A 26,986-nucleotide genomic window follows, 5' to 3' on the forward strand; every position below is an offset into this window, starting at 1 on the left:
TTTCAGAAGATCAGTTGATAATGAGCAGTACTGCTTCTCATGTTTAATAGTACTTTTCATTCATAAATGTTAGCCCCCTCTAAGGACCAGGAACCCGTTATTTAGTTATCTCTGTGACATTTTTACTACTAAAAAAGAAGTAAAGCCAGTAGTTCGAAAGATCATGCAATTTTCTTTTGTCTGGGCGAAGACCTAGCGATGACAGTGTTGCATAGTTCCTTCATCTTTATTTAAGCTTTTGGAGCCTCAGTATCTTTATAAGACTGGAATGATAAAACCTCTCAACAGAGTCATTGTAAAATCACATCAGAAAGTGTATGTAGAGCACGTGATACCCTACCTGGATCTGTTGTTACCTATGATTGTTGCTCCCATATAATACCTAAATTATTGGATTTAGAAATAATTTAAGGCTTTTCTAGATTACATGACTGAACAGTACATGTGGATTGCTTTAAGTATTCCCAATCAAAATGAAGTTTCATTATTATTTAGAATGAGTACATAATTCCTATGAAGTTATGAAAACCATATTGGTAAAATATGTTTTTAAAATACCATCATCTTCTGCTGTATGCTTTTTGGCTGTTCTAAAAGGAAAGAATCTTCTGGGTTTTTTTTTATTTGTTTGCTTTCTTTCTAATTTTAGATGATGATTTTTGGTGCACAGAAAATAATGAAGAGTTTTGTATTGTGACTTGAATTTTGAGGTCTCCCGAAGAGAGATCATTAGAGTTCTAAAACTAAATGAAGGATCCACTTGAGAAGGCTAAATTTTCTTCCTCTATTTTCCTGACAACCCCGATGGAAGTAATAAAATAAATGTGACAATTTTACCATAAGCGTTTAGTGATACCAAGCTGACTTCATTAGGATTGTATATGTTAACAAGAAATCGTTCTGCCTGCCTGTCTGTCAAAGTCACATACTCTGAGATTTGTACTCTTAGTGTGTGATAGAAATTTTCTAAAATCCTTAAGCTAATTAGCTTTAAAATTCTCATGTGGTTCTCTCACATGCATGTGTGTGGTTCTGTGTGAGAGACTGGCAAAGCTGGACCAGTGAGGGTCAGGTGCCATCCGTCGCAGATTATAAAGTCATCAGCATAGCTTGGAGAATGTTCCTTTTGCTTTCCTTTCAAGACTTAGACCCATCTTGTTGATAGGAAAGAAAGAACTTTGAATGCAGGGCAATGGGGAAAAATGTGGGGGAGACTGGCCTAGAGAGCAGCTGTGAGGGAGGTGGTTGTCTGAGGTGAGTGAAACACATGGACGTGACAACTTTTTTTTCTGTCCAAAACATAAAAACTGAAGAAAGGAGTTTTTCCCAAAACATTGGAAGAAAAAGACAAGGCCATATGTAGTACCTTCCATGTGGCCTGCAGAGCTCAGAGATTTTCTCCCAGATCCCCTGAAGGGATGACATGTCCTCACTGTGCCTCAGCTGAAACAAGGACTTCTGCCCTGTGCAAATTTGTGTAGTTGCTTTAGGAATAATTTTGACAGAGTGAATGGATGATAACATAGGATTTCTGTCTTATCTTGTGTCTAAGTGTATTCCTAATGTTTGTTTTTTAGGTGGGAGAGATAAACGTGGAGGTCCCATTTTAACGTTTCCGGCCCGCAGCAATCATGACAGAATACGACAGGAGGATCTCAGGAGACTCATTTCCTATCTAGCCTGTATTCCCAGGTAAGTTCTGTGTGGCTTGTGCTTGTCACTGATGTCACATTTACAAGAGATGTGGCGCTATACTCGTTAGAAATCAGCTAAATTGTAGCCTGCATTCCAGGCAAAGTAGTATAAAATGAAAGTCATTATCTTTCACCTTATTACCATTTTGTGACCATTATTGTCTAGTGTAAAGCCCTTTGGGGAGCAGGGACATGAAGGTAGGTAAGAGCTTTGTGTGTTGACAGTGGATCTGGGATACTCAGCTGGGATTTCAGGATGTGGCGCCTGAGTTAGAAAGCCATTGTTGATGATTCTAATACCGTGACACAGAGGCCTGGGTGATCAGAATTGGGTGCTGCTTTTGACAATGCATTTCTGCCTACTTGGCAAACGTTAGTTCTTTAAAAATAGTCTGTTGATATGTAGCACGAAGTTTGTGGGGCATTAAAAATCCTTATTAGCTATATATTGGGCGTAGATTTGGGAATCTCTATCAAAATTGAGACTCCATTGGTAATGGGAATTTTTAGCATAGATGCCAAAGAACACCAAGAGCAAGCAATGTTGTGTTTTCTGGAGAGTCCGCAAGTGGGGAGTCATGAGTTACTAGGAGCTGGCCTGTGTGTATACTTGAGGAATTTAGAATCTGTTTCTGCTCTGGAAATGTATTACTCGAGTTTAATTTGTAGATCTAGCTGACAACTGGTGGAGGAAATTTCCTCCCTATATTAATGTATTAGTTCTTTCTCACACTTCTATTAAGAAACGTTTGGGACTGGGTAATTTATAAAGAAAAGAGGTTTAATTGATTTAATGGCTAGGGAGCCCTCAGGAAACTTATGATCATGGCAGAAGGCAAGGGGGAAGCAGGCACATCCTCACATGGTTGGAGCAGGAGGAAGAGGGTGGAGGTAGGGGGTCAGGTGCCACACACTTTTAAACAACCAGATCTCATGAGAACTCCATCAGGGGACAGCACTAGGGAGATGGTGCTAAGCCGTTAGAACCCCCCCCCCCCGCCCCGTGATCCAATTACCACCCACCAGGCCTACCTCCAACATTGGGGGTTACAGTTCAACATGAGATTTGGGTGGGGACACAGAGCCAGATCACACCAATTAATATCTCCATTTAATTGTTGCAGTTATATTCTGGAAAACATAATACCATGCTGATATAATCTAAGGATACAGTCATGCCTGGAATAGGAGATTTGGTGTGTGTTGCAGGTTGGAGGGGTGCCTATCTATGAGGAAAGGGTGAGTCCTCAGGTGTCTCTTTTATTCCAGAAAGGCACATACTGAAGGGCATCAGTGGCAGCCATGGTAGAGTGAGAGGAGGTGTTTCCTAAGAGACTAAATGAGGATGTGTGAGAGAAAACTCGGCCATAATATGGGCTGGCTAGATAGTAACCTTAAGGAACATGTTACAAGAGAATGATGTAAGATGGTAACAGCATAATGGGTTTCAGGGGTTGTGGTAAAGGTAATAGATCTACCACAGCACGTGGTTCACAGCACTCAACCTGTGTAGGTTGACACAAGCGGGACAAGGCAGCCATGCCCCTCCCTAACAGGGCTGGCTGTGGCTGATGGCAATCAGCTTTTGGTCTTGATAGTTTGACTTGCTGGGGAGGTTCTTGGGTTTTCTGTCAGAGTATCCTTTATGAGAAAACTATCACTGTGTGGCATCAGTGACTAAGTGAGCCCTACTTATCTGGAGTAAGTTTTCCCTTTCTTCTTCTGGTATTTCTTAGGCAGCTGACCTGTTGAAATCTTAGAGTTGGAAAGTAGTTTAGAAGTTATTTATACTCACTATCATTTATAAATAAAAATAGAGTGTAAACTACTACTTACTAAGCTTTGACTATGTGCCAAGTCTGTGATAATGATGGAAAAAGAAATACAAAGGGCAGGGTTAAAAAAAAAATAACTGCCAATCAAAATGATACTTGTCATATAGTTTAATAAGAACTAAAGTTGAATTTGATATTCACTCTTGTGAATTTGAATACTATATAGTGGTAACTTTGACAACTTGCTTTTTGGTCTTGAAACCTATGTTAATAGTAAATATTAAAAATTATTCATTTAATTGATATAGAAATTGGTTCAAGCACATTTTGGATAATCTGGATGACCCACTTTAAAAAAAAAACCTTTTTTTTGTGGGAAATTGTGAGAATACACAAAAGTGGAGAGAATAATATCATGAACACACATATACCCTTCACCCAGCTTCAGCGTTTATCAGATTTTGCCAATCTTGTTTTTCTCTAATTATTCACCTGGTGTATTTTATAACAAATCCCAAAGATCACATCATGTCATTCAAAAATACTTGAGTGTGTAGGATGACCCTCCGGCCACTGAACAGTCTCTTCATGTCAGTACCTAGGTTTGCGTTTGCATTAACTGCAGTCCCAAGTGACAAGAAATGCCATTTTGCTTGTCCTCGATTAATGAGCAAATAAGAGAGGTGGATTAACATGTAAATGACGCATTTGCCGAGTGATAATGGAGAAAGATTTCAGAGTAGTCCAAATTGAAAGAAGTGGCCACAAAGTGAGTCCTCTCTGGGCCCTCTCCCCCAGGGTCCTGCAGGTGCTACCCCTAGTGAGTGTATAGCAGCAGGAGCGCTGTTTGGTTTTAACCAAACAAATTATGTGATACAGATTTCACCAATCTGTAAAAATCATCAGCAAATTACTGGTGTGTGAATTTCTTTGGACTTGTGATTTTGCTTATGTGTAGTTTGTAAGTCTGATGGTTTGTTGTAGTAGAGTGGTATGAACACAAGGCGTTTCTACCCAGCTGTACATTTGTGTGTATGTCTTGGGGCCTGTGAGACCTTTTGCTGTGTCCAGTGCTTCCTCGTGCTTCCCAGATTTGAAGGCAGCCCTTCGGCCATTCCTCAGTTAGACAGTCACAGGGCTGGTGTCATATGTGAAGGGAGAACATGGGCCTCAGAATCAGACTGACTGTGACCTGGGACACATGACTTCACTTTCATTGCTTTCCTGATCTGAAAATGTGATAATGACCTGTACATTTTGGGATCATTGTGAGTATCGAGTAAGATTATTCCTGTAATCTTGCATGGTGCTTGACATGCAGTAGCTTGCTGAGATATAGTGCAATAATTTTCTGATTTCATATTCACCCTTCTATTTTCCTTCAATTACTTTCCTTTTGACATGATTTCTAGAGGCAGATCACATTGTTTTCTTCTGCATGCTTTCTAGATTGTCTGGGTCCGGCACAGTTCAACAGGAACGTGACCTGAGCAGCTGTGAGTGATTTGAGTATTATTGCTGGGGTCGCCCCTCCCTGCCCTTTTTTTTTTAAACAAACAAACAAACAAACAATTGTAGTAACAAGGTGAGTTCATAAGATTCATTTGCAATGAAACTTTCCACTAAACGTGTGTAGGAGAAATAAGAAGCAGCAGCAGTTCTTGCTGCTGTCATTGCAAGTCCTGCACAGTGACATTAATCTTAGAATGTCTCTCGGTGGCTGTTGCTTTTATTACTTGAACTGTATTTAATACTAATTATGTTCTAGAACATTCTGCCTTCTTTAGAATGATTTTTGGTTGCTAAATATTAACAGATAAACCACTCTTACTCCTTGTTGTCCACTAATGAAATGATACGAAGATTTTTAATTGATTCATTCATAAATACTCACATAAGAAGATACTTTCTTCCTCTAGGAACGAAACAAGTAGAGTTTCTCTTTTTTAGGGACCTGTGTTGAAAGGGGACCTTATTTTTATGTGAACTTTCTTTATCTCACAGATAAACATGAGGCTCTTTGGTAAAAATGCTAAAATAACTGGTTAATAAGTCACATTTCCCAAAGAACAGTGTCTCTTAGGTGGTGGAAGGGCTTGGGGGCCCTTCTCCAGTAGGCAGCTGTTTATTAGGTGCTCATAAATAGGACCCAGGTTTGGGGATGTTTACAAGTCACTGCTGTCTTAATGATGACTGGCTTTTAACTTGATAAAAATAGATGGATTGAAATGCTGTGCACTCCCAGCCCAGTCCATTTGCCATTTTCATTACTTAGGAAGCCGCTGGGTGGGAGCAGTTTGATCACAGAGGAAGGCGAATAGTTAATCCTTCTGTAAACTGTGCAAGCTCAGCGTAGCTTTTGGTTTTGTTGTTCTCCCGCTTATTCCTGTTGTTAAGCCTGGAGTCATTCAGGATTCCTTTTAAGCTTCTTTCAAGTAGAGGGGCTTTGTAGTTCGTGTGCATACTGTGTAAGGCCATGTTAGGAGAAAGACAGGCTTCAAGGGAATTTATCTTGATATGGTGAAGACTGATGGTTACAGTGCGGTCTACCAAACAGCAACTAGTAAAACAAATAAAACATATTGCCACCGTTTTACAATCTCCTGTCTTTGGTGTACGGCAGCAGAATATGTGAATCTGGAGTAGAATGCCTTACTGGGCAGCAGGCTTCCTTTGCAGAGCTCTTGGCCTCCGGGCACCTGCCTCTTCCTGCTTAGGCTGCCCTCACCCCAGTGCCTCCAGGGCCCTGGAGTTTCTGTGGAATGGAATCTCGAGGGATTGCAAACCCCATTAGAGCCCAAGGAAGTCTAGAATGCTTAATTTCCATGACAGGAGACTTTAGGAGATGTTTCTGGGAGTCCCATTTGCCTCTAGGTTTCATGAAGGAGGTCAGAAAACAGGTGATGTTTCTGCCCGTGATGTTACCCGGATTGTAACCCACGACCTAATTGGGATGTGGAGGAGAAGTGATGGCATGAGGAGTATTTGAAATCATTTCAATTTACATCCCTATGAGATAGTTATTAGAAGTTCATCACATCGTTCCTAATCAGTTTTCAGCATTTGGGTGATAAACTAAGCTGCTGGATCTGTTTTCTCCTCCTGGCTTTAGACACTGTGCTCCTCTGACTGTGAGCCGCCTTCTGATTGGGTCCTACTGCTGGGCTCTAACCATACAGGCATTTTTTTGGGGTGTTGATGTGATACACCCTCTTACTGATGTAGATGTCATATGTACTTTGCATTTGTAAAACGTGGGAAGCTAGTTAGTCTGATAGTCTGAATCAAGATATAGAAGGGAATGGGGTGTGTGAGTGTGAGTTAGTTGGGAGGGGGAAGGAGGGCAGGGTTAGGGGAGTGAGCCTATGTAAGAGCATGAAATTGGTTTTAATTTTGAATTAATTTTATTTGCATTACTTAATGATAGCAATTGGTTTTCCAGGTTTTTAATTTAGACTAGTTTTTTGGGGGGATAATTATCCAAAGCAGAAAAATGTCAAATGTCTTTTCTACCCTAAGGTACATTTATGTTTGGGGAAAACCACATATGCGTATTGAGTACCATAAGGTCCTAGGTATATTTCCAAAAAAGACCTTGTAGGCAGTCGTTACCTGGTTACTGTCTGGTGCAGGCATCAGCAGCCTGCACAGACTGTCAGAGACCCCTGTGTAACAGTGAGGGTTGCAGTTGTTCCTTACTGTAGGGCCATTCGGAAGCTTCTATCACTGAAGTTGTAACCAAGTGCGACTAAGTATTTTTTTAACCTGTGTTTAAGGACACCTTAACTCTTGTTGCTCATTCTTTATTGCAGATTTGCATTGTATGTGTTTCCCATGTAGTCAGTGGTTGAGATTTAATACAATTAGAAGCTGGCACTTTTTTTTTTTAAGTGCAATAATGTGGAGAGGAAGAACATAGTGACTCCCAGCACTGCCTTGACGTGTGTCAGAGGCCAGCAGTGTTAAGCCAGCGTTGCTACCACATAAAGGCTTAGTACAGTTGTGGAACTAGATTAAAACCACAGAGCCTGCCAGAAGGGTGCCAAGAACTCCCAGGGACGGGTGGATGGTATGGAAAACCACTGAGATAGCTTCAGGGCCAGGGATAGGGTAAAGGGAATAAAATGGAACATAAGAAAGTTCTCATCATTGCCAGCCATGCTAGTGGGGGGTCATTTTCAGCACCTGGGGTGCTGGGAGTCCTGGGGTAACTGCCGTCCACAGGTCTCAGACTGTCCCCAGTCTGGGTTTTGTTGCAGGCTGTCAGGGTTTTGTACTCACCCGATGCTCCCTGGAGACCTTTGCTCGCAGGAGTGACTGGAGGAGTTCATGTAATCAATTAATGCACCAAAGTCAGGAGAAATGGGCATGGTGACCGTTGTTTTCCTGAAAAGAAGACGGGATGCAAAACCATTAATACAAAATTGAAATCTTAACAGGTTTTGCAGGTTGAACATGAAGCGTGTATAGCCTGGGTCTCTTCCTTTATGGTACAAGGGAGGGACGAGAAGGAGCTGAGCACAGTGTGCTCCTTCCCCTGCCTCCGCACGTGTCCAGCAGGGGAGGGAAGCTGGGTCTGTGGCACCCAGTGGGACTCTGACCAGGCAGAGTGGCAAGAGATGTAACCCGTCTTCAGCCATGTTTTCTTTCTCTGCAGCGAGGAGGTCTGCAAGCGTGGCTTCACGGTGATCGTGGACATGCGTGGGTCCAAGTGGGACTCCATCAAGCCCCTTCTGAAGATCCTGCAGGAGTCCTTCCCCTGCTGCATCCATGTGGCCCTGATCATCAAGCCAGACAACTTCTGGCAGAAACAGAGGACTAATTTTGGCAGTTCTAAATTTGAATTTGAGGTAACTTCCCCCGTGTGGCTAGACCCACTAAACAAGTTGGTGTGGTTTACTAAAAGCTATTGAGGCTAATGAGAGATTTTTTTTTTAAACCACATATTAAACAGGAGCTGCATATCTTACGAACATGTGATACGTAAAATTAGTTACTGCATGAAATAACAGAGCTGCGTTCATCATCCGAGTGGATTGTTTTACCCACATGGGCTTAGGTTTCAGTTCCCTTGGGTTGGGTGATGGGCTGTTGAGTTGTGAGGCCTTGGCAGAGAAGCTTGCTGGCTGCCTTATATTTCACTTGACAAACAGCTTTACCAGGCAGCACTGTGGCTTTGCACAGTTACAGATTCATTCTCCTTGCCTCAGCCCTGGAGATGAGGGAATGTTAGGGAGAAATGCCCAACTTCAGAGTCCCTAAGTTTCATCCTGTCATGGATAATGGAAAGAATGCATGTATTAGGCCTCTGATTTCTGAAAATGGAGATAGTGTGTTAAAAACTGTGCAGAGTCCTGAATTCAGTTAGGCATGGAAGATTGCCGTCTTTCAGTGGTAAAAACAAGACAAAACCCTCAGCCCACTAATTATTTTGCTTCCCACTGTAACCTCCTCTCCTTAAGCTACCAAGGTTCTGACAAGGCCTTCGGTGCAGTTAGTTTAATGAGATGATTATGGGAGGAAAGTCTTCCTGCCAGCATGAAACTTGATTCTTGCTCCATTTGGAATAAGATTTTAATATTTTCTAATAAGAAATACTTTTTGGTTGAATAGATTGCTTCCTCTGGCAAATCTGCTCAAACGTTAGGTTTCAGTGGATGTATTCATGTATTTTAAGGTAAACAGCAATAATATTAAACATCAGACAGTGTTAATCCTTAATCTTCAGGTTATAATGCTATACTTTTCAAAGTGTTTGCACAGGTGTATTACTTGGATTTTTAAATTCTTTCCATAGTACTCATTTTTCTATCCAAAATATGAACTTAGTTTTAAATTTGAAACTACTCAGGTTTACTACACTCCATCAGAAAGATGAACCCAGTAAGCCTTTATCTTCATAGAGAATAGGAAGTAATTTTGGAGGACAGTTTATTGGGTGTTAATTATTTTCTTGATGCAGAATTGAAAGTGCATTGTATTTAATTATAAGTGTTTTAAGTAAAAATAATGGTCTGGCAATACAATTCATACAGGTTTTTCCAGTCCAGTTTTGATCTCTCCCTCAGGGCTCTTAAAGGCACCAGTTTTTCTATGGAACTTGTTACATTGTTACCAGCCTCTCTCTCCCCACCCAGTGATTGCCTCTGTGGAGATTATTAAAAGTCCAGCAGGACCGGGTGTGGTGGCTCACGCCTGTAATCCTAGCACTTTGGGAGGCCGAGGCGGGCGGACCACGAGGTCAGGAGATTGAGACCATCCTGGCTAACACGGTGAAACCCCATCTCTACTAAAATACAAAAAATTAGCCGGGCGTGGTGGCAGGCACCTGTAGTCCCAGCTACTTGGGAGGCTGAGGCAGGAGAATGGCGTGAACCTGGGAGGCAGAGCTTGCAGTGAGCCGAGATTGTGCCGCTGCACTCCAGCCTGGGCAACAGAGCGAGATTCCGCCTCAAAAAAAAAAAAAGTCCAGCAAACGAGAGAGGAATGGGCCTATGGTAGGATTGTAGGCATAAGTGCTGGATCAGGAGTCATCCCTCTTCTACCTCTGCTGCCTTCTGATGTTTCTTTTGCCAACCAGCACGCCGGACCAGCCCTTCTTGTTTTCTCTTTTGGTTCTAGGTCACAACTCTTTCTCCTTCACCTTTGTCTTTGCATTTAATCTTCCCCCTCCATGTTTTCCTTGAGGCATATTAATATTAATCTGCTTCACATCATGATAAGGTGAGGTTAAGATTTCTTGCCGAGGCCAGGCACAGTGGCTCATGCCTGTAATCCCAGCACTTTGAGATTCTAAGGGAGGAGGACTGCTTGAGGCTGGGAGTTCGAGCCCAGCCTGAGAAACTTAGCAAGAGCCTGTCTCTATATTTTGTTTTAAAAATTAGCCAGGTGTGGCCGGGCGCGGTGGCTCATGCCTGTAATCCCAGCACTTTGGAAGGCCGAGGCGGGCGGATCACAAGGTCAGGAGTTCGAGACAACCTGGCCAACATGGTGAAACTCCATCTCTACTAAAAATACAAAAATTAGCTGAGCGTGGTGTAAGTCACCTGTAATCCCAGCTACTCGGGAGGCTGAGGCAGGAGAATCACTTGAAATCGGAAGGTGTAGGTTGCAGTGAGCTGAGGTTGCACCACTGCACTGCAGCATGGGCAACAAGAGCAAAACCCTGTCTCAAAAAACAAACAAACAAAAATCACCAGGTGTGGTGGCACACGTGTAATTCCAGCTACTCAAGAGGCTTAAGATGGGAGGATGGCTTGAGCCCAGGAATTTAAGCTTACAGCATGTAATCATCGCCACACTCCAGTCTGGAAGACAGAGCATGACCCTTTTTTTCCTTTTTTAAAAAAAAAGGTCGTGTGCGATGTCTCATGCCTGTAATCCCAGCACTTTGGGAGGCTGAAGTGGGTGGATCATTTGAGATCAGGAATTTGAAACCAGCGTGACCAACATGGTGAAACCCCGTCTCTACTAAAAATACAAAAGAATTAGCCTGGTGTGGTGGTGGGCACCTGTAGTCCCAGCTACTCGGGAGGCTGAGGCAGGAGATCACTTGAACCTGGGAGGCAGAGGTTGCAGTAAGCTGAGACTGCGCCACTGCACTCCAGCCTGGGTGACAGAGCAAGACTCCATCTCAAAAAAAAATAATAATAATAAATATAAAGATTTCTTGCTTAGACTGTAATTGACTAAAACTTTGTCACTGTTAAATTGCAATGTAGTACAGATTATATACAACTCTAGGACTGTTCAGAATCACAGCAGATTATTGCAATGAATAAAACATTGCCTCTATCCTTAGCTCTGTCAAATGAGCCTCTGCCAGCTTTCTTGCCAACTCTTGAATATTTTCTAAATTTTTATAAATTCATTCATATCCCATCATCTGTTATTTGATGGGCAGTGGGGTTAGGCTTAGGCAAGATGAATGATAGGGTGGTCTGGTTGGAGCAGCATTCATCGTTTAATAGGCAGCCCACACGTAATTGAATTTAGAGTGATGTTACACTTAAAAGGGTTTTGATGCCCTTGAGCAAGACGTTTGTGTAATAGCAAGTAGTAGAAAACCTCCACAGAGTTTCTGGCATGGATGAAAAAGAATGGGGAGAAGAATGCATTGATGTAAGTGAAATTTCTGAATTGTTTGCTCTGAACTTGCAATTTAACCTGTTTCCTAGTTTAATGTGTCTGTTATAGTGGGTTAATCTCCATCTTCTTGGAAAGAAATCTCATTTCTTTAGCTCTCATGAAATACACGATTCTACAGTTTTGGGTATTCCAGCTGACATATATGTGTTGCTATAATGGATTTGTCTTTCATTGTACTGATAATGCTTCTTTCATCTACATTTATTTTTATGGGGCCAGAACCAGGTATGTTATGTTTTCTATAAATAGATTACTTTAACTTTGAAAACCTGTGACTGAGCATTGCAAATTGCATTATGTTAAAACTATATAAAATTGGTTCATCTTCTCATACGTGATTTTTTTTCCCTTAAGACAAATATGGTCTCTTTAGAAGGCCTTACCAAAGTAGTTGATCCTTCTCAGCTAACTCCTGAGTTTGATGGCTGCCTGGAATACAACCACGAAGAATGGATTGAAATCAGAGTTGCTTTTGAAGACTACATTAGCAATGCCACCCACATGCTGTCTCGGCTGGAGGAACTTCAGGACATCCTAGCTAAGAAGGAGCTGCCTCAGGATTTAGAGGGGGCTCGGAATATGATCGAGGAACATTCTCAGCTGAAGAAGAAGGTGATTAAGGCCCCCATCGAGGACCTGGATTTGGAGGGACAGAAGCTGCTTCAGAGGATACAGAGCAGTGAAAGCTTTCCCAAAAAGAACTCAGGCTCAGGCAATGCGGACCTGCAGAACCTCTTGCCCAAGGTGTCCACCATGCTGGACCGGCTGCACTCGACACGGCAGCATCTGCACCAGATGTGGCATGTGAGGAAGCTGAAGCTGGACCAGTGCTTCCAGCTGAGGCTGTTTGAACAGGATGCTGAGAAGGTAAAGACGGGGGAGGCTAATGCCTCAGTGGACATGGGGGAAGCCAGCGCTGGTGGGTTCGGGTGGAAGGAAAGAGAAAAGGTGGAGAATGGTAAGGCTATACTCACCGTGTGTGCTCTAAACCAGCGAGAGTCATTTCAGAAATGGCACTGAAATCTGTTTTCCGGTTTTACTCGTTGTGCAATACAGTGCTGTTTTAGAAATTTTGAGTTCAAATTACTTATTCTTTGGTCTAGGATGCCTGTAAGATAGGAATGATATTTTCACTTAAAAGAGTGAACATTTCGGCCGTGCTCACGCCTGTAATCCCAGCCCTTTGGGAGGCCGAGGTGGGCTGATCACCTGAGGTCAGGAGATTGAGACCAGTCTGGCCAACATAGTGAAACCCCGTCTCTACTAAAAATACGAAAATTAGCCGGGTGTGGTGGCACGCGCCTGTAATCCCAGCTACTCAGGAGGCTGAGGCAGGAGAATCGCTTGAACCCATGAGGCAGAGGTTGCAGTGAGCCAAGATCGTGCCATTGCATTTCGGCCTGGGCGACAGAGTGAGACTCCGTCTTAAAAAAAAAAAAAAAAAAAAAAAAAAAAGTGAAAATTTCACAGGGTTATGTTATTGACAAAACACCATTCCAATCTATTGAGTATGTTTTTTAAAATCAAGATGAGTAATGTGTTAAAAGTAACAGTTTCTGGGTAATATAGTTGGTAATCACCTCTAGTCTCATGTTTTATTCTTATGCACCAGGCAGACCAACTGGTCAAAGTGAATCCTTATCAATTACTGGCTAATTGAATCTTAGCAATGTGGAAACTGGGCACTTACCCATAGGTATGTGTTGCAAGCCATGAACATGGGTGAATTAATCATTGAGTTTTATTGGAGCTCATTGAATTTTATATTACATGGACAGGAGAATATTTTGTAAAGTAAAAAACCACATTAGAATTCTTGGATGTAAAAGGACTTTTCAAAAGGTGATAATCCAGTGTTTTTATTACTAAAGCTTTTAATGTATCTGTCAGTGTTCTTTTGTTTTAAGTAGCACCTTGTCTAAGAGACTGGAATACCTTCTTTTCAATTACTGGAAGACCAGGTTACTGTCACTGGGATTCTGGTTCAAGTCATGGTAGCAATGCTAATTGATGATAGTCATCTATATTTTCTTAAATGTTTTCATTGCAAATGTCTTAATTGACATCCTTGTCCAAGTAACATCTATATTGAACCTTAAGGGAGATGTCATAGTTAGTTTTTCCCACCTTTTTTATAGTAAATTTTATGTTTTTGCAATCTGCACAGGTGTCTGTGTACTTCTTGATCAAACAGTGGAATCTTTTAGTCATTGATATTTCTGTCAGTAACCTGTGGGCACAGCAGAACCCATCCAGAGACCCATAAGTTCCTAATTTCACCCTAACGGGTCTTTAATTGAACCTCACTGTGGCAAATTAAGTAGTTCAGCGTGGCAGGGAGACTGGGCTGAGAGTCAGAGGATCAGAGTTTTTAATCAGCCTGGGGGATTAGAGTAACTCTCTTTACTTATCTGCTTCTTAATTCCTTCTCTGTAAGAGGAACACATCAGATAAGATTTTCTGGTAGGTCCTGCAAGTTCAGAACTGCTGACTTGTTCTTCGAAGTAAAGACTCTTCTGAGAGAATCAGACAGCGCTTGAAGTTGTCCAGGGAAGGAAGTTGCCCTTTCTTGGTACTGCCCCATCTGTGGGCTTGTGTCAGTAATTTCTCTTTCTGGAGTGATTGCGGGTTGTCTTTTTCCTTCCGGTAGATGTTTGACTGGATCACACACAACAAAGGCCTGTTTCTAAACAGCTACACAGAGATTGGGACCAGCCACCCTCATGCCATGGAGCTTCAGACGCAGCACAATCACTTTGCCATGAACTGTATGGTAAGACACTCGGAACAGCTGGACCCTGGCATGTGACAGTGTTTTAGCAAATGGGAGGCATTTGGCAAATTGTATGCTAGGGCTTTCAAGGGGCCTTCGGAGTGGCTGTTGATTGTAGCAGCTGACCTTCACATGGAGGGTGTTCCCTAGGGTTCCATTGTCTCACTATCCCACATTTTAAGTTTTAAACAAAAATGAAAACAAGCAAACAGACGAACCAGTGAAACTTGAACCAATGACTTGGCTAGTTCAGCACAGACACTTGGGATGCTGGCTCCTGTGCTGCACTTCATAGGAGCCCACGGGGGCCCCAGCAAAGCTGCTGGGAGGCACAGTGAGTCCCCCAGACGGAGCGCTGTCAGTTTGCTGGCTGCTGTTCATGACAGCGAAAGGAGCAAGCCTGCTGCTGACCTCAGGGCACTAGCTAGTTCTCCTGAGGCATGAGATTTCCTTCCAAGCTGAGCTGGAGGACTGGGATCTGGCCCTCAGCCTTGCCTGGGATCCCCTGGCCCTCTTTAAGGTTGTTGCATCTGCTACCCTTGGCTGTCGTGACTGTCAGGATCTTAGAGGCCAGATAGGGGGTGACTGTAGGACTACATCACAGAAACCAAAACCAAACCAAAACACTGAATTTTGAGTAGCACTTCTGTTACAGTTTTATAGTTAATGTTACTAAAACTGTATGTTCTATAGGACATTTGCTTGCCTCTGTAGTCTGTGAAGCTTCTAGAAATTTCCTCTTCAGGGACAAGGAGTTTTGGTTTGGACTTTAAGCCAGCCTTGTGAGGATTGTCCACTCTTAAACCTTGTAACGTTTGTTGTAGAGCATTAAAGCAATATGAACCGGCCTGGGCAACACAGCAAGACCCCATCTCTAAAAAAAAAAAATAATAATTAAAAAATTAGCCAAGTGTGGTGGTGCACACCTGTAGTCCCAGCTATTTGGGAGGCTGAGGCTGGAGGATTGCTTGAGCCCAGGAGTTGCAGGCAACAGTGAGTTATGATCACGCCACTGCATTCCAGCTTGGGTGACAGAGCAAGACCTTGTCTCAAAAACAAAAATACAAATAAAGCAATATGAAGACAGGGTTTTTGTTTAAGTTAATTCAGAAAGATGCCATTTAATTAAAATACAGTCAACTAGGTGCTACAATTTAGGTAGTTTCAAAGATAAGATTTTGCAATATAATTTTTAGTAATAAATGCCATCAAAGTTTTACGTCTGTTCTAGAATTTAAAGTAAGAGAATTTCTGGTTCGAATCGTCAAACCTGGGCATAGATAAAAATTTGTTTGTAAAAAATTACTGTCAGTTTTTTTAGAATTTTCTGAAACTTTTGGCAAGAGACCATTCAGTCTGCTATGCCACATACTTTAAAAACTAGAAATACTAAAATATGTGCTAGAAATGAACAGAAAAATATATTCTCTCTTCCCCCTTTCTTCAGCATTATTAGTGGCAGATTTAGGACTCAAGGGAATAGGAACCATAGTGTAGAAGACAGGAAAATGGGTTGTGGACGTAGAGGCTTTTAATTCTGACTTTCTTATTTGCCATGTGACCTTGGGAAGGCTGTTTAACCTCTTCGAGCCTCAGTTTCCTAATCTGTAAACTGGGGGTAATACCTGCCTTCCATGGTATTACATGTATATGTAAAATGCAAAACATACTGCTTGACATATAGTAAGTACTGTATAAATGTTAATTCTTACCAGTGATGTTATCAATATAATTAAAGATGCAGTTAAAGCAGGTAAGAAACTTAAAAGTATGAGTTACAGCTATTTTTTTTGGGAGGGGGGTCGAATATATTTTCTAATTTTCTACAATATACTTCTGTTACTTTTCTAAGTTAAACTTGTAATACAATGCATGCGGGTAGCTCGGTGCCATGAAGGTGATGCCTGCTGGGGAGCTTTCTGGACCAGGCCTGCTCCTTGTGTTGAATACCTCCACGAATCCCTTGTATCTGTGGCATTTAATAATGCAGGGCAAGGGTATTTAACCTTCAGCCCCTTCTGCTCGCTATAGTGTTTTGAACAATTTCTGACAAAATAAGGATACTAAATACCAATATGCCAAGTTAACAGCTTTTAAAGAAAGCATATTAAGGGATACCAACAATTATGCATGTTCTACTCTAACAGATATTTATAAAAACTATGATGATAAGCCTGTAGGTGTAGGTACTTTTAATTTAGGGAATTGCACATTACCATATTGATGTCCAGGCTGTAGATTTAGGCTGTATGCCACCATACTCGTTTATGTGTGCTAGAAGTGATGGAGAGATGGAAAAAGCATCATACATAGACTAGTAAAGTCTGTTTTTATATAAAAGTGACACAGGAAGCTGTTACAATCTAGGAATGGGCAGGTATGGTCAGTGGTTGTCACAATAGAGCCACCCAAGGAGACATCTCTTCTCCAGATCCTAACAGAGTGCATCTTGTGCTTTTCCTAACAGACCTGTCGGACTGGCTTTTTCTCTTTTAAGGATATAGAGAAAGCAAAATTAGCAAATCTAGTTTCTTGTCACTTTACTAGGAGGGAGGAAAAGAGAGAAAGAATGCACTTGGGAATGGGAGGCCTTGCTTTTAATTTACCAGATGCCAGTTAGAGCGTTAATGCCACACGAGCCAGAGAGGTCACCTTGCTGAGCATGGCTTGACTGTTGCAGCCTCTTTCTGCGACTCCAGACATGCGATGTCTGTTAGCTGATTCTAGCCTTCAGATGCAGCCCGGAGATGTAACCCTGAGGCTGGAGTCCTGTGGCTCTAATCCCAGACAGAGGCAACTCCACCAAGTTCTGGTTTGGGTCAGAAATAGAGGGAAAGGATGAATGAAAGAAGATACAAAGAAATAATGAACAAGTGAGTTCTTTCAGCTGCTTACTTGGGTGGTCTGCAGGCAGCAAGAGACAGGAAGGAGGCTGTTGTGGGGTCCTTGTTCGAGGCAGTGGGAGATTTGCTCAGAGGGGTTGTGTGGGAAGTGAGAGAAGGGGGAAAAACGTAGGGAAGTTTGGACAGATCAGGAAATCAGATTGGGGCAACGTTGAGAGGAGCCAAAGAGGTATCTACGATTTTGGGGGACCCATGGGAAGGAGTGATGTGGTAACAGTGAAAAAAATAAAAAATACATGAACAACAGCAACTTCGGATTTGCTGAAGGTCTGAATCCCGCACCACACCACACCCTGCGATACTGAGCCTTAAAGAACTTTGGAGGTGGAAAGGGAAACTCCATATGAGAGCTTGTTCTGCAAAAAGGGTGGGTTTTTAAAATCCCTATTTTTGCAATAAACTGATAGACTTGAAGATAGGAATTTTGACAGAGTAGAAAAGCTTTATTTAAAATTTGAGCATAGCGTTGTTGTGTTTTTACTGCAATTCATATTCCTGGGAGAAGGTGGATCTATTTACAGAATATTTTCTGTTGGCACCCAAAAATGACTTGGGCATATGTAGAAAGGAGAGCTTGCTTTCACACAAATAGCCTTTGGTTGCTAGGTACGTGTTTTTGGGTTTCTGGGTTCTGGTTAAAAACCAGAGCGCTGGGTCCCTCAGTTCTCTGTGACTGCCTGGCAGCAGGCTTGCCATCTGGACCCTGTTCAGTATTTGAAGCCAAGAAGTGAGTAATAGTATATTTGTGTGCACCCACTTGTGTATTTGATTGCTTTGTGCTGAACAATTATGCCTTTCAGCTAGTTGATTTGTAATTTTACAGTTTTAAAAATAGAAATGGAAACCAATACTTCAAGTTTATGGAAATCTAGAGAGCAAATATGTATAATATTATATATATCAGGTGATGCTCCTGGGAGAGATGTGATCACTGTTAGAAGCCTGTGTTTCAGCAGGTGGCATCTGGGCTTCTTAGAAGGGAGCCTCCTATTTGCTCTCCCCTAAGGAGCCCTCTTTTCCTGCCCACTTTCCAGAACGTGTATGTAAATATAAACCGCATCATGTCGGTGGCCAATCGTCTGGTGGAGTCTGGCCACTATGCCTCGCAGCAGATCAGGCAGATCGCGAGTCAGCTGGAGCAGGAGTGGAAGGCGTTTGCGGCAGCCCTGGATGAGCGGAGCACCTTGCTGGACATGTCCTCCATTTTCCACCAGAAGGCCGAAAAGGTCAGTGCCTTGAACCCCCAGCCCACGAGGTGGTAACCAGAATAGTTCTTCCTCCATGAATATTGGTGTGTGTGCAAACACTCTTGTGTAGCACATACTGTGAGCTCCGCATGTGAGCTCTGAAGTCACTTGGCCCTGAGTTTAAATTCCAGCTCTTTTAGTCCTTGCTGCGTAACCTTAGGCAAGTGACTTAGCCTCTCTGTTTTGTTTTTTCATTTGTAAAGTAGAAATAAAAGTACCTGTTTGAGTGGACTGTTGATGTAAATGTGATGCTAGGTGCCCTACACAGTGCCCGGCACAGTAAGCACTAAGAAGTGGCAGCTGCTCTTCTCTTCCCCTCCTCTCCTGGCTCCTTCTTTGCTCTTATTCCTTGTTGATAGTGCTTTATTACTCCAATTGGGATGGTTTGGTAGCAAGGAACGGAACGCCCATCCGTGGTGCAGATGTCAAGGGTTTAGTTTTCTCACAAACTGCGAAGTTCTAAGGCGAAGGCACCTCTAGCTGCACGGCTATGGAGGGGTGGTGTCTGCTGCCCTCAGGCTTGCTGGGCCTCCCCTCACAGTCAGGGCAGCACACCTCAGCTCCACGCACCAGCTCCTCCTCAGCCACAGTGCTCACCCTCCGCAGGGATGGCTGTAGCTGTCTTTGCCTGCCACTTTATAAGGGAAACATTATTTCCAGAGGCCCCGCCCCCAGCACATTTCCCCTCGGCTAGTCTTGGGGTGCACATCCATGCCTTGCTGCAAGGGGTGGGGGAAAGGGTGGATCTGGTGTTTAGCCTCCTTAGGGAGGTGCTGCCCGCAAGGGTGAGGGAGGAAAATGGCTTTTTTGGGTACACAGTTGACAGTGTCTTTCATAATTATAAACTTAGCTACATGGCATCTGACTTTGGCTTCATTTGTTGACAGATGTGTTGTGTCAAAATTTCTAGTTTAAGAAGTAATGGGTAATATATGCCCCCAACACTCCCCATACCTCCATTTAAGCAAACTTGCTTAAACAAACGCTCTGAAAGTAGCAAAATGAAAGGGATTTGCTCATGACTCAGAGTTTATTATCGGAAGGTGAGCAGCACAGTGAGTACCTTTTCAGGATGTGGAGAAAGGGCATAGGAACTTTTAACCACCAGGAAGACACATATATGGGGTAGAGGAAAATGGTTGCTTAATTTAAAAAGGAAAAATATCAGTATATCTTCCTCAGGGTTAATTTTTGGGGGAAAGACTGGATTCAGGCATTTGCACGGATGCTTCTTAAAAAGGAAATAGTATCTCTTTCATCTAGAAACAGTCTCTGTTGAAGAGTGAAGAAGTCAGTAAAGGAAGATAGAGGCCCCAACTTGCCTAGGATTTTGGCAGGGCAGTCAGAATGTTGCACAAGACACTAATTAGCAGTGATCTCAACTCTAGAGACCTTTAAAGTATAAAGCAAGAGAGGAAGCTGAGTGATTTATAAAGAGAAACAAACCTTCATAGCACCATGTAAAAGCTGAGAGTTTCAATGGTAAGGATTTTTCTACTTTCTAACTTTTTGCATTTGACTAATTTTGTGATAAAAGATAGACAAAAGCCCACACACAAAAACAACTTTTTAAAGTAACAGGAACTGCTTCAGCGTAAATAAAACCATCTTCATGACCCTGTAGCCATCTCCGATCCTTATCGTTGTACAAAGTAGCAATACCCTCGATCATTTGGCAGTAAGGTGATATGAATGAATTTGAAGCAGGATAAACTGCGTGGGTGAATGTCAGGCTGAAGCATAACACACAGAGAACATCTTTCATAAACATGATGAGATTCAGAATTGTAAATAAACCCAGAGATTAATTACCACTGTGACCTGCCTGAAAATAATCTAGAAACATGGGTGTCATGGGGCATTTTCCTTCCAGTGTTTTATTATAAAAAATTTTAAACATACAGCAAAATTGAAAGAGCCTGGGGTATTCTCATCTGGATAAAATGAATGAGTGTAATTTATGGATTTGAAGGAAATGAAACTAGGTGAACACATTATTGAACAGAATTTCATGGGACCCTGCATGAACTGTAAGGGCGCCTGAAGTCTCAGTGCATGTACGGTGGCCAGAGAAGAAGCCAAATAGGAGTGAAGGGACAGTAGCCTAATGAAGAAGGAGCCCAGCGTGTATTCCAGACCTTAACGAAGCAACAAGGCCTGCACGTAGACAACTGAAATGCACAGATGGGAGATTAGGACGTCTTCAGAAAGACAGTCCTTACTTGCAAGTAAAAATGTGTTGTGTCTCGTCCCCCTCACTGAAGAAAAGTAAGATCCTTGAAATTCTGATGCTCCTCACTAAAGTAGTTTTCTTTTCCCAAGAGAGCAATCCCAAGACTAGGTCAACGTTGTTCCCTCATTTTAAATGATTTGCCTTCTAGTTATGCTCAACCTGTTTTCATAAACTCAGTCTGGAAAGGACCAGAAGCTTGGACATCCTAAGTTAAGTTTCCATCATAGTCACCTCTTTGAATCACATCCAGAGTGTTCATGTGGAATTTAAATCTGATTAGGGGGACATAAGGCTCAAATATGTGACTCCATGGTTAATGAGCTTACTAACGGCAGCCGCCTTCTCTGTAAGGATTACAGCTCTTAGCTGCACCGTCCGGCCCTGCCCTCTCTCTCCATGGGTGGTGGTGTGCTAGCATTTGCTGTGGCTTTATAAACATAACTCTGAAGTTAAAGCTAGATGAGAATGATGTTTCATAGATGCTATAACTTCCATAGATGTGTCAGCCAGTCTGTTTTGTGTCATCTCCAGTGAAGGTTGTGGGATCACAGTATCCGTTTGCAAATATGTGGACACACAACCACAGTGTTAATGTTGTTACTGGTAGATGTTGCTTAGGGGCTCCAGCCTTCGCTTGTCTTGGTCATGTGGTATATCCACAGGACAGACCCTTTATATTAAGACGCTTTCACAGCAGATACCATTAGAATTAACATTTTTATAAAACAAAGTGACTTGATTTTGCTACAGCTTAAAATATCTTTTTACTGTGACCTCAAGCTGCACTGCCCATTGTGATGGCCTGTCACCATGTGTGGCTATTGAAGCTACTCAGAGTTAAATAGCAAGATGATAAAATCATTTTAAAAAATAGAATTAAATTAAAATGTAGTTGCTTATTCACTGTATCGGGAGCAACATGTGGCCAATGGCTGCTGTAATTGACAGCACAGATACACATTTCTATCCACTCGGGTAGTGCTTGCAGAGGCTTACCTGCAGAGTGAACCACACATCCGATCACCTTAATTTATCTATGACTTTAGGCCTTCTGTACTTTGATAATAACCAAAAATAAAGTAACAGTGTTTGTATAGTTCTTTAATATTTAGAGAACCCTTTAACATGAAATCTCATTTCATCCTTAAATCAGCCTGGTGGAGCAGATGGGACTGTAGTATTATTGTCCTGATAATCTGTATGGGGAGGGATTTGGCCATGTTTCCCAAGCTAGAACTTTCGCTGAGGTCTATGGCTAGGTCTTTCAGTTCCTGACATAATAACAAACTGTTTCACACTTGCATTAATATTCTTATAAAAGTTCACTTCCCATAAATATTTTTAGAATTAACATTTATTATAAACATGACATAGATGCAAGTTCTAAATCTAGGAAATTTCCGTCCCTTTGTCTCCTAAGTCCAGCTTAGTGCCTGTGCTCAGCTGAGGCTCCGTCAAGAGGTGGCGGGGGTGAGAGATGGATGGGAGTGCAGTTCACTAGCTTCAAGGATCCCAGCTCTGGTTGGTGGGACCCAGAATAGGCAGAAGAAATGAGTGGCTCCCAGATTGGAGGCCCCCTCTCAGCAGACAGGGAGTAGTAGAGTAAATGCTTAGGAAAAGCAATCTGTTAATTATTTATCCAAGTTCTCCTCTTAAAAGCTATGTATATGAATCACTGTTCCCCTCCTCTGCTTGCCTCTGTTTTGCAAACTGGGTGATCCAGGCTTCCTTCATCATTTATTCAGCAACACTTTCTTAATACGACCATTCTGCTCAGCTTCAGGATCCCCAGATCTGAAGCAGGCTCCTGATCTGAACTGACAGAGCAACATTTCATTCTTTCGCACTCTCCTGCCTTTATCCCCAGTCCCCCAGATGCTTTGTGTTCACGTATTTTGATCTAGGGAGCACTTAAAGCATCAGATACTAAGACAGCTGCTCTGATCTCATTAGACTGCAGTAGCCACCTTCTGTCCTCATCTCCTAAGTGTCAGGCTCTGTGCTAGACATGTTCCCCCAGCATTGCAGTCCCAACCTGGGTTACTCAGGATGGTAACACATATGTGTGTGTATGTGTATCAGAGTGAGGGAAGTACCAGTCCCCCCTCGTATGATATCATTGTCATATTAGAAGCTTTTCTAAGAGGTTCTGTTATGAAGGTACCTGTTGAATTTCAACACCAAACTTGACCTCAGGATGCTTTTTCTTTGTGGAGTATCTGTTGACACCCTGTTCCCTGTTCCATGCATCTCGGAACGGGGATTGCTGTGCTGGTGCTGTTGGTTTCACACCCTCTGGGCGTTCAGCCTTTTGGAAAACAATCAGGCCTAGAGCTTGGTCTGTGGAGTCTAGGGTTGTGTCTTAGAAATAAAGAACAGAAAAATGATGCTGTGCAAAACCCTCTGTAAAACCATGGCTAGGATTATTTCTATCATGGGCTGTTATTAACCCAGAAAAAGGGCAGAATCCTTTGTCCACAAGGTTTTCATGTAGCACACCATCCTTCCCTGGCTATATGTTTTCAGAGAAGTATAATCAGTGCCCTCTCAGGATACTTTAAGAAATTATAAGTTAGTTCTAATTACAGGAATATGTAAAACTTCTTGAATGTTTTTTCTTTATTGGTTGTTGCTTCAAAAATTGGAGTCCAATATACTTTAATGATTTTGATATAGTGATATGTTAATCTGATGCTTCTGTTCATTACATTATGAAGTATTATATAACTGAAATGTGTTTCCACCATGTTCTGTCAGAAGCGTTTTGATCTTAAGAATACGTTGCAACTCCTCTTGGTTTTGGGTGTTCTGCAGTGGCCATTGTCCAGGAGCGCTTAATTGCTGACTTAGACCTGATGATTTATTAATGATGATGGTTAACCTCAATCAATTTGTGTTTGAAAAACAATAATTTAATAATTGGTATTAAATGCAATACAGGAAGATGATAGAGTGAAACAGAGCTCAAAAATACTGACAATCATCTGACCTGACCAAATTGACATTTATAGAACATGACACCCAAGAAATACTCAGTTGACACTTAATGCCGTATGAACTGGCTTCAAGCCGTAAGGTCTGCATAGATATTTTTCTGCACTCAACAATAAAAGGATTTCCATAAACAGTTATTATTTGGGTGACTTGTCTATTTTAATGTCCTAAAAATAAACTGGGAGTTTGTTCTTACTATATTTTAAGGGAATTATAGCACATTTCTTTCTGGTCAGTTGAGTATTGCATTTCAAATAGTCATCCTCTGCATTCCCTGCTAAGTTAAAAGATGTGTGAGGAACAGGAGTAAAGAGGTTAAAACCGAGGGAAATGTGTTGATGTCTGTTTGGCTTAATTGAATTAGCTTTTTTAATTGGGCCTTCCGCACTTGCCTTTCACTCTTAACTGTGATGGATTTCGATAGGATCTCCCTAGGAAATTTGGCAGTGATTTCTCAGCTGTTGATGATCCTGGAGATGGAGGGTGTCAGTGGAGGAGATTGAGCCAGGGTTGGGATGGCTGCCGCAGGACCGTTGATGATCCTGGAGATGGGGGGTGTCAGTGGAGGAGATTGAGCCGGGATTGGGATGGCTGCCGCAGGACCGTTGATGATCCTGGAGATGGGGGGTGTCAGTGGAGGAGATTGAGCCAGGGTTGGGATGGCTGCCGCAGGACTGTTGATGATCCTGGAGATGGGGGGTGTCAGTGGAGGAGATTGAGCCGGGATTGGGATGGCTGCCGCAGGACCGTTGATGATCCTGGAGATGGAGGGTGGCAGTGGAGGAGATTGAGCCGGGATTGGGATGGCTGCCACAGGAATTGATGATCCTGGAGATGGAGGGTGTCAGTGGAGGAGATTGAGCCGGGATTGGGATGGCTGCCGCAGGAATTGATGATCCTGGAGATGGAGGGTGTCAGTGGAGGAGATTGAGCCAGGATTGGGATGGCTGCCGCAGGACTGTTGATGATCCTGGAGATGGAGGGTGGCAGTGGAGGAGATTGAGCCAGGATTGGGATGGCTGCCACAGGACTGTTGATGATCCTGGAGATGGAGGGGGCAGTGGAGGAGATTGAACCAGGATTGGGATGGCAGCTGCAGGAATTGATGATCCTGGAGATGGAGGGTGGCAGTGGAGGAGATTGAGCCAGGATTGGGATGGCTGCTGCAGAACTGTTGATGATCCTGGAGATGGAGGGTGGCAGTGGAGGAGATTGAGCCAGGGTTGGGATGGCAGCCTCAGGGCTGTTCGCATGGCTCAGGCTTTTCTCATTTGCCTGCAAATTGGGAAGGATGGGAATGATGCCCCTGCCTCCTTAAGCCTTTCCTAAGATTCACAGAGAAGTTCAGGCCCCTTTTTCTTGGTCTCCTTTTAATTCTGGTGTCAATTTCCTTTGAAACAGTAGCGGAATGGACTGGCTGCTCTTCCTTATTTCACATAAATGATTTTTAGATACCTGGAACTTTTTCATTACATCTCAATGAAAAAGGAAAGGAGTAAGGCTGACGTGTAGCTGCAAGGAGAAGGAGCATCCTGCTATTGAGCCCTAGTTAAGGGGCACGTGGAGGAGTCATCTTTCTGTCCTCCCTTGCTAGGAGTGCAGGGCAGTTAGAAACGTGGATTCAAAGGTGGACTGGGAGAATTTACTAGAATGCCCAAAACAGGGCTGCATTGCTCTAGGGGCACACCCAGACCTGGGCAGCAGTCAGTTGAGGCATTCATCTGAAATGTGGATTCCTCGGACTCACCCCAGTCCTGCTGGAACTCACTCTGGGATTGGAGTCCAGGAGTCTCATGTGAGTTGAGGATGCCATTTGAGATGGAGAGTCAACCATGTTAAATTCTTAGGATCTCCCTCAAGTCCCCTAATTTTCAAAACCATGTTAAAAAATGTCCACTTCTCAATATAAATTGTCATTGATAGAAATAATCTTTTTTTAACCTTCCAAGTATATGAGCAACGTGGATTCATGGTGTAAAGCTTGCGGTGAGGTAGACCTTCCCTCAGAGCTGCAGGACCTAGAAGATGCCATTCATCACCACCAGGGAATATATGAACATATCACTCTTGCTTATTCTGAGGTAAGTGGCCAGTTTTACTTACATTGCAAAGCAGCATCATTTTTGCATCATAGTACACCGGAAGCTAGAAAAAAAAAAGTTTTGGGTAGCCCAGAAAAAGTTTATAGATTTCGAGTTAGACTGCAGTTTAATTGTTTAGCATTTGAACCCCTGTGTGTGTGGGGAGTGGGGTGGGGCAGTAGGGGAAGCAGAATGGTGTGCAGGCAGTAGCCTTTCCGATAGAGCGCTTATATGCTCAGCTGCTACAGTCAAGGAAAACCTAGTCTTTTTTTCTACATGTATTTAAGAAATGTGTATTTTGTGTGCTCTTCAGTCTAGTCAAACTCAATTTAATCTTCCCAAATGAAACCTTTTAGAGAAGATGGGCTAGATTGCAAGGCACACATGTGTCTATTTTAGAAATCTAAGTGTAACATTTTCTTTATTACTTTAGGGTGTATTACATTATTTACTTAGTGAATCCCTGTTTTATTTTCTGCCACCTTCTATGCCAGACTGTATTGTAAGGACTTTATGTAATGACTGACTTAATGCTCACGTACTGTATCTGTTCCTGCTGTTCCTGCTGAAGAAAATGAGTCACAGAGATAAATGACTGCGCCAGGTCAGCAGCTAGTGGAGCAGGGTTAGCCCAGGCAGGCAGGCTGCATGTTCTCAGTCACCACCCTCTGCGGCCTCTGTGCCATACCACGTGGTAGCTGCTTGATGATGCAACTTTAGATGGGTTGACGAGTACCACCCTTGCCCATGCCTTGTTCCTCTGGCCCTTGAGACCAGCCTACCTTTGTGATAATAGTTACGTTCCTGGAGGTGAAGGCGAGGGGTGTAGAGAGGAATTCTGTGTCCTTACTTTTCTGCAAGGTTTTCTCCCTGAGTAAGAAGCATCTATATCTACAGTGTTCTATGTTAATATGAAAGATTATCGCAAGGCTTCTGTAAGAGTTTCACAGCACCTGGAAGAGTGCTGGACAGTGTAGATGTTTAATAAATGCTTTCTGTGTTTAAATCTAAATCTTGATCCAAACACATCCAAACTTGTCAAAGTTGTTGGGAAGAAAGTGGCCATTTGCATTTCATTCTGATATTTCCTGTTGTGCTTCACTGCCCAGCTGTCACTCTCATATCCTTGGGCCTGCCT

The 26,986-nt window shown here is 42.7% G+C and overlaps 1 protein-coding gene across 10 annotated transcripts in view, besides 1 other annotated feature; it reads left to right on the top strand.

Annotated features, from left to right (window-relative positions):
• The window catches only part of TRIO (trio Rho guanine nucleotide exchange factor), a 366,863-nt gene that overhangs the window by 135,403 nt on the left and 204,474 nt on the right, over positions 1-26,986 (top strand). For all 10 annotated transcript variants that reach the window (NR_134469.2, XM_047417679.1, NM_007118.4 and 7 more), the window contains 6 exons: positions 1,578-1,692; positions 8,127-8,319; positions 11,972-12,484; positions 14,268-14,390; positions 18,328-18,519; positions 25,717-25,848. Coding sequence is in view for 9 of the 10 variants with exons in the window: in XM_047417679.1 (XP_047273635.1) it covers positions 1,578-1,692; positions 8,127-8,319; positions 11,972-12,484; positions 14,268-14,390; positions 18,328-18,519; positions 25,717-25,848 (1,268 nt within the window). In the remaining variant the exon portion in view is untranslated. The remainder of the gene's footprint in view (positions 1-1,577; positions 1,693-8,126; positions 8,320-11,971; positions 12,485-14,267; positions 14,391-18,327; positions 18,520-25,716; positions 25,849-26,986) is intronic.
• Positions 3,176-3,470: a silencer, noted in NCBI's record as "tiled region #5150; HepG2 Repressive non-DNase unmatched - State 15:Elon". NCBI's record gives its function as "represses a minimal TATA promoter and a strong SV40 promoter by Sharpr-MPRA in HepG2 cells {active_cell/tissue: HepG2}" and the evidence as "EXISTENCE:reporter gene assay evidence [ECO:0000049][PMID:27701403]".

The sequence above is a fragment of the Homo sapiens genome, chromosome 5 (assembly GCF_000001405.40).
Source record: "Homo sapiens chromosome 5, GRCh38.p14 Primary Assembly".
Lineage (NCBI taxonomy): Eukaryota > Metazoa > Chordata > Mammalia > Primates > Hominidae > Homo > Homo sapiens.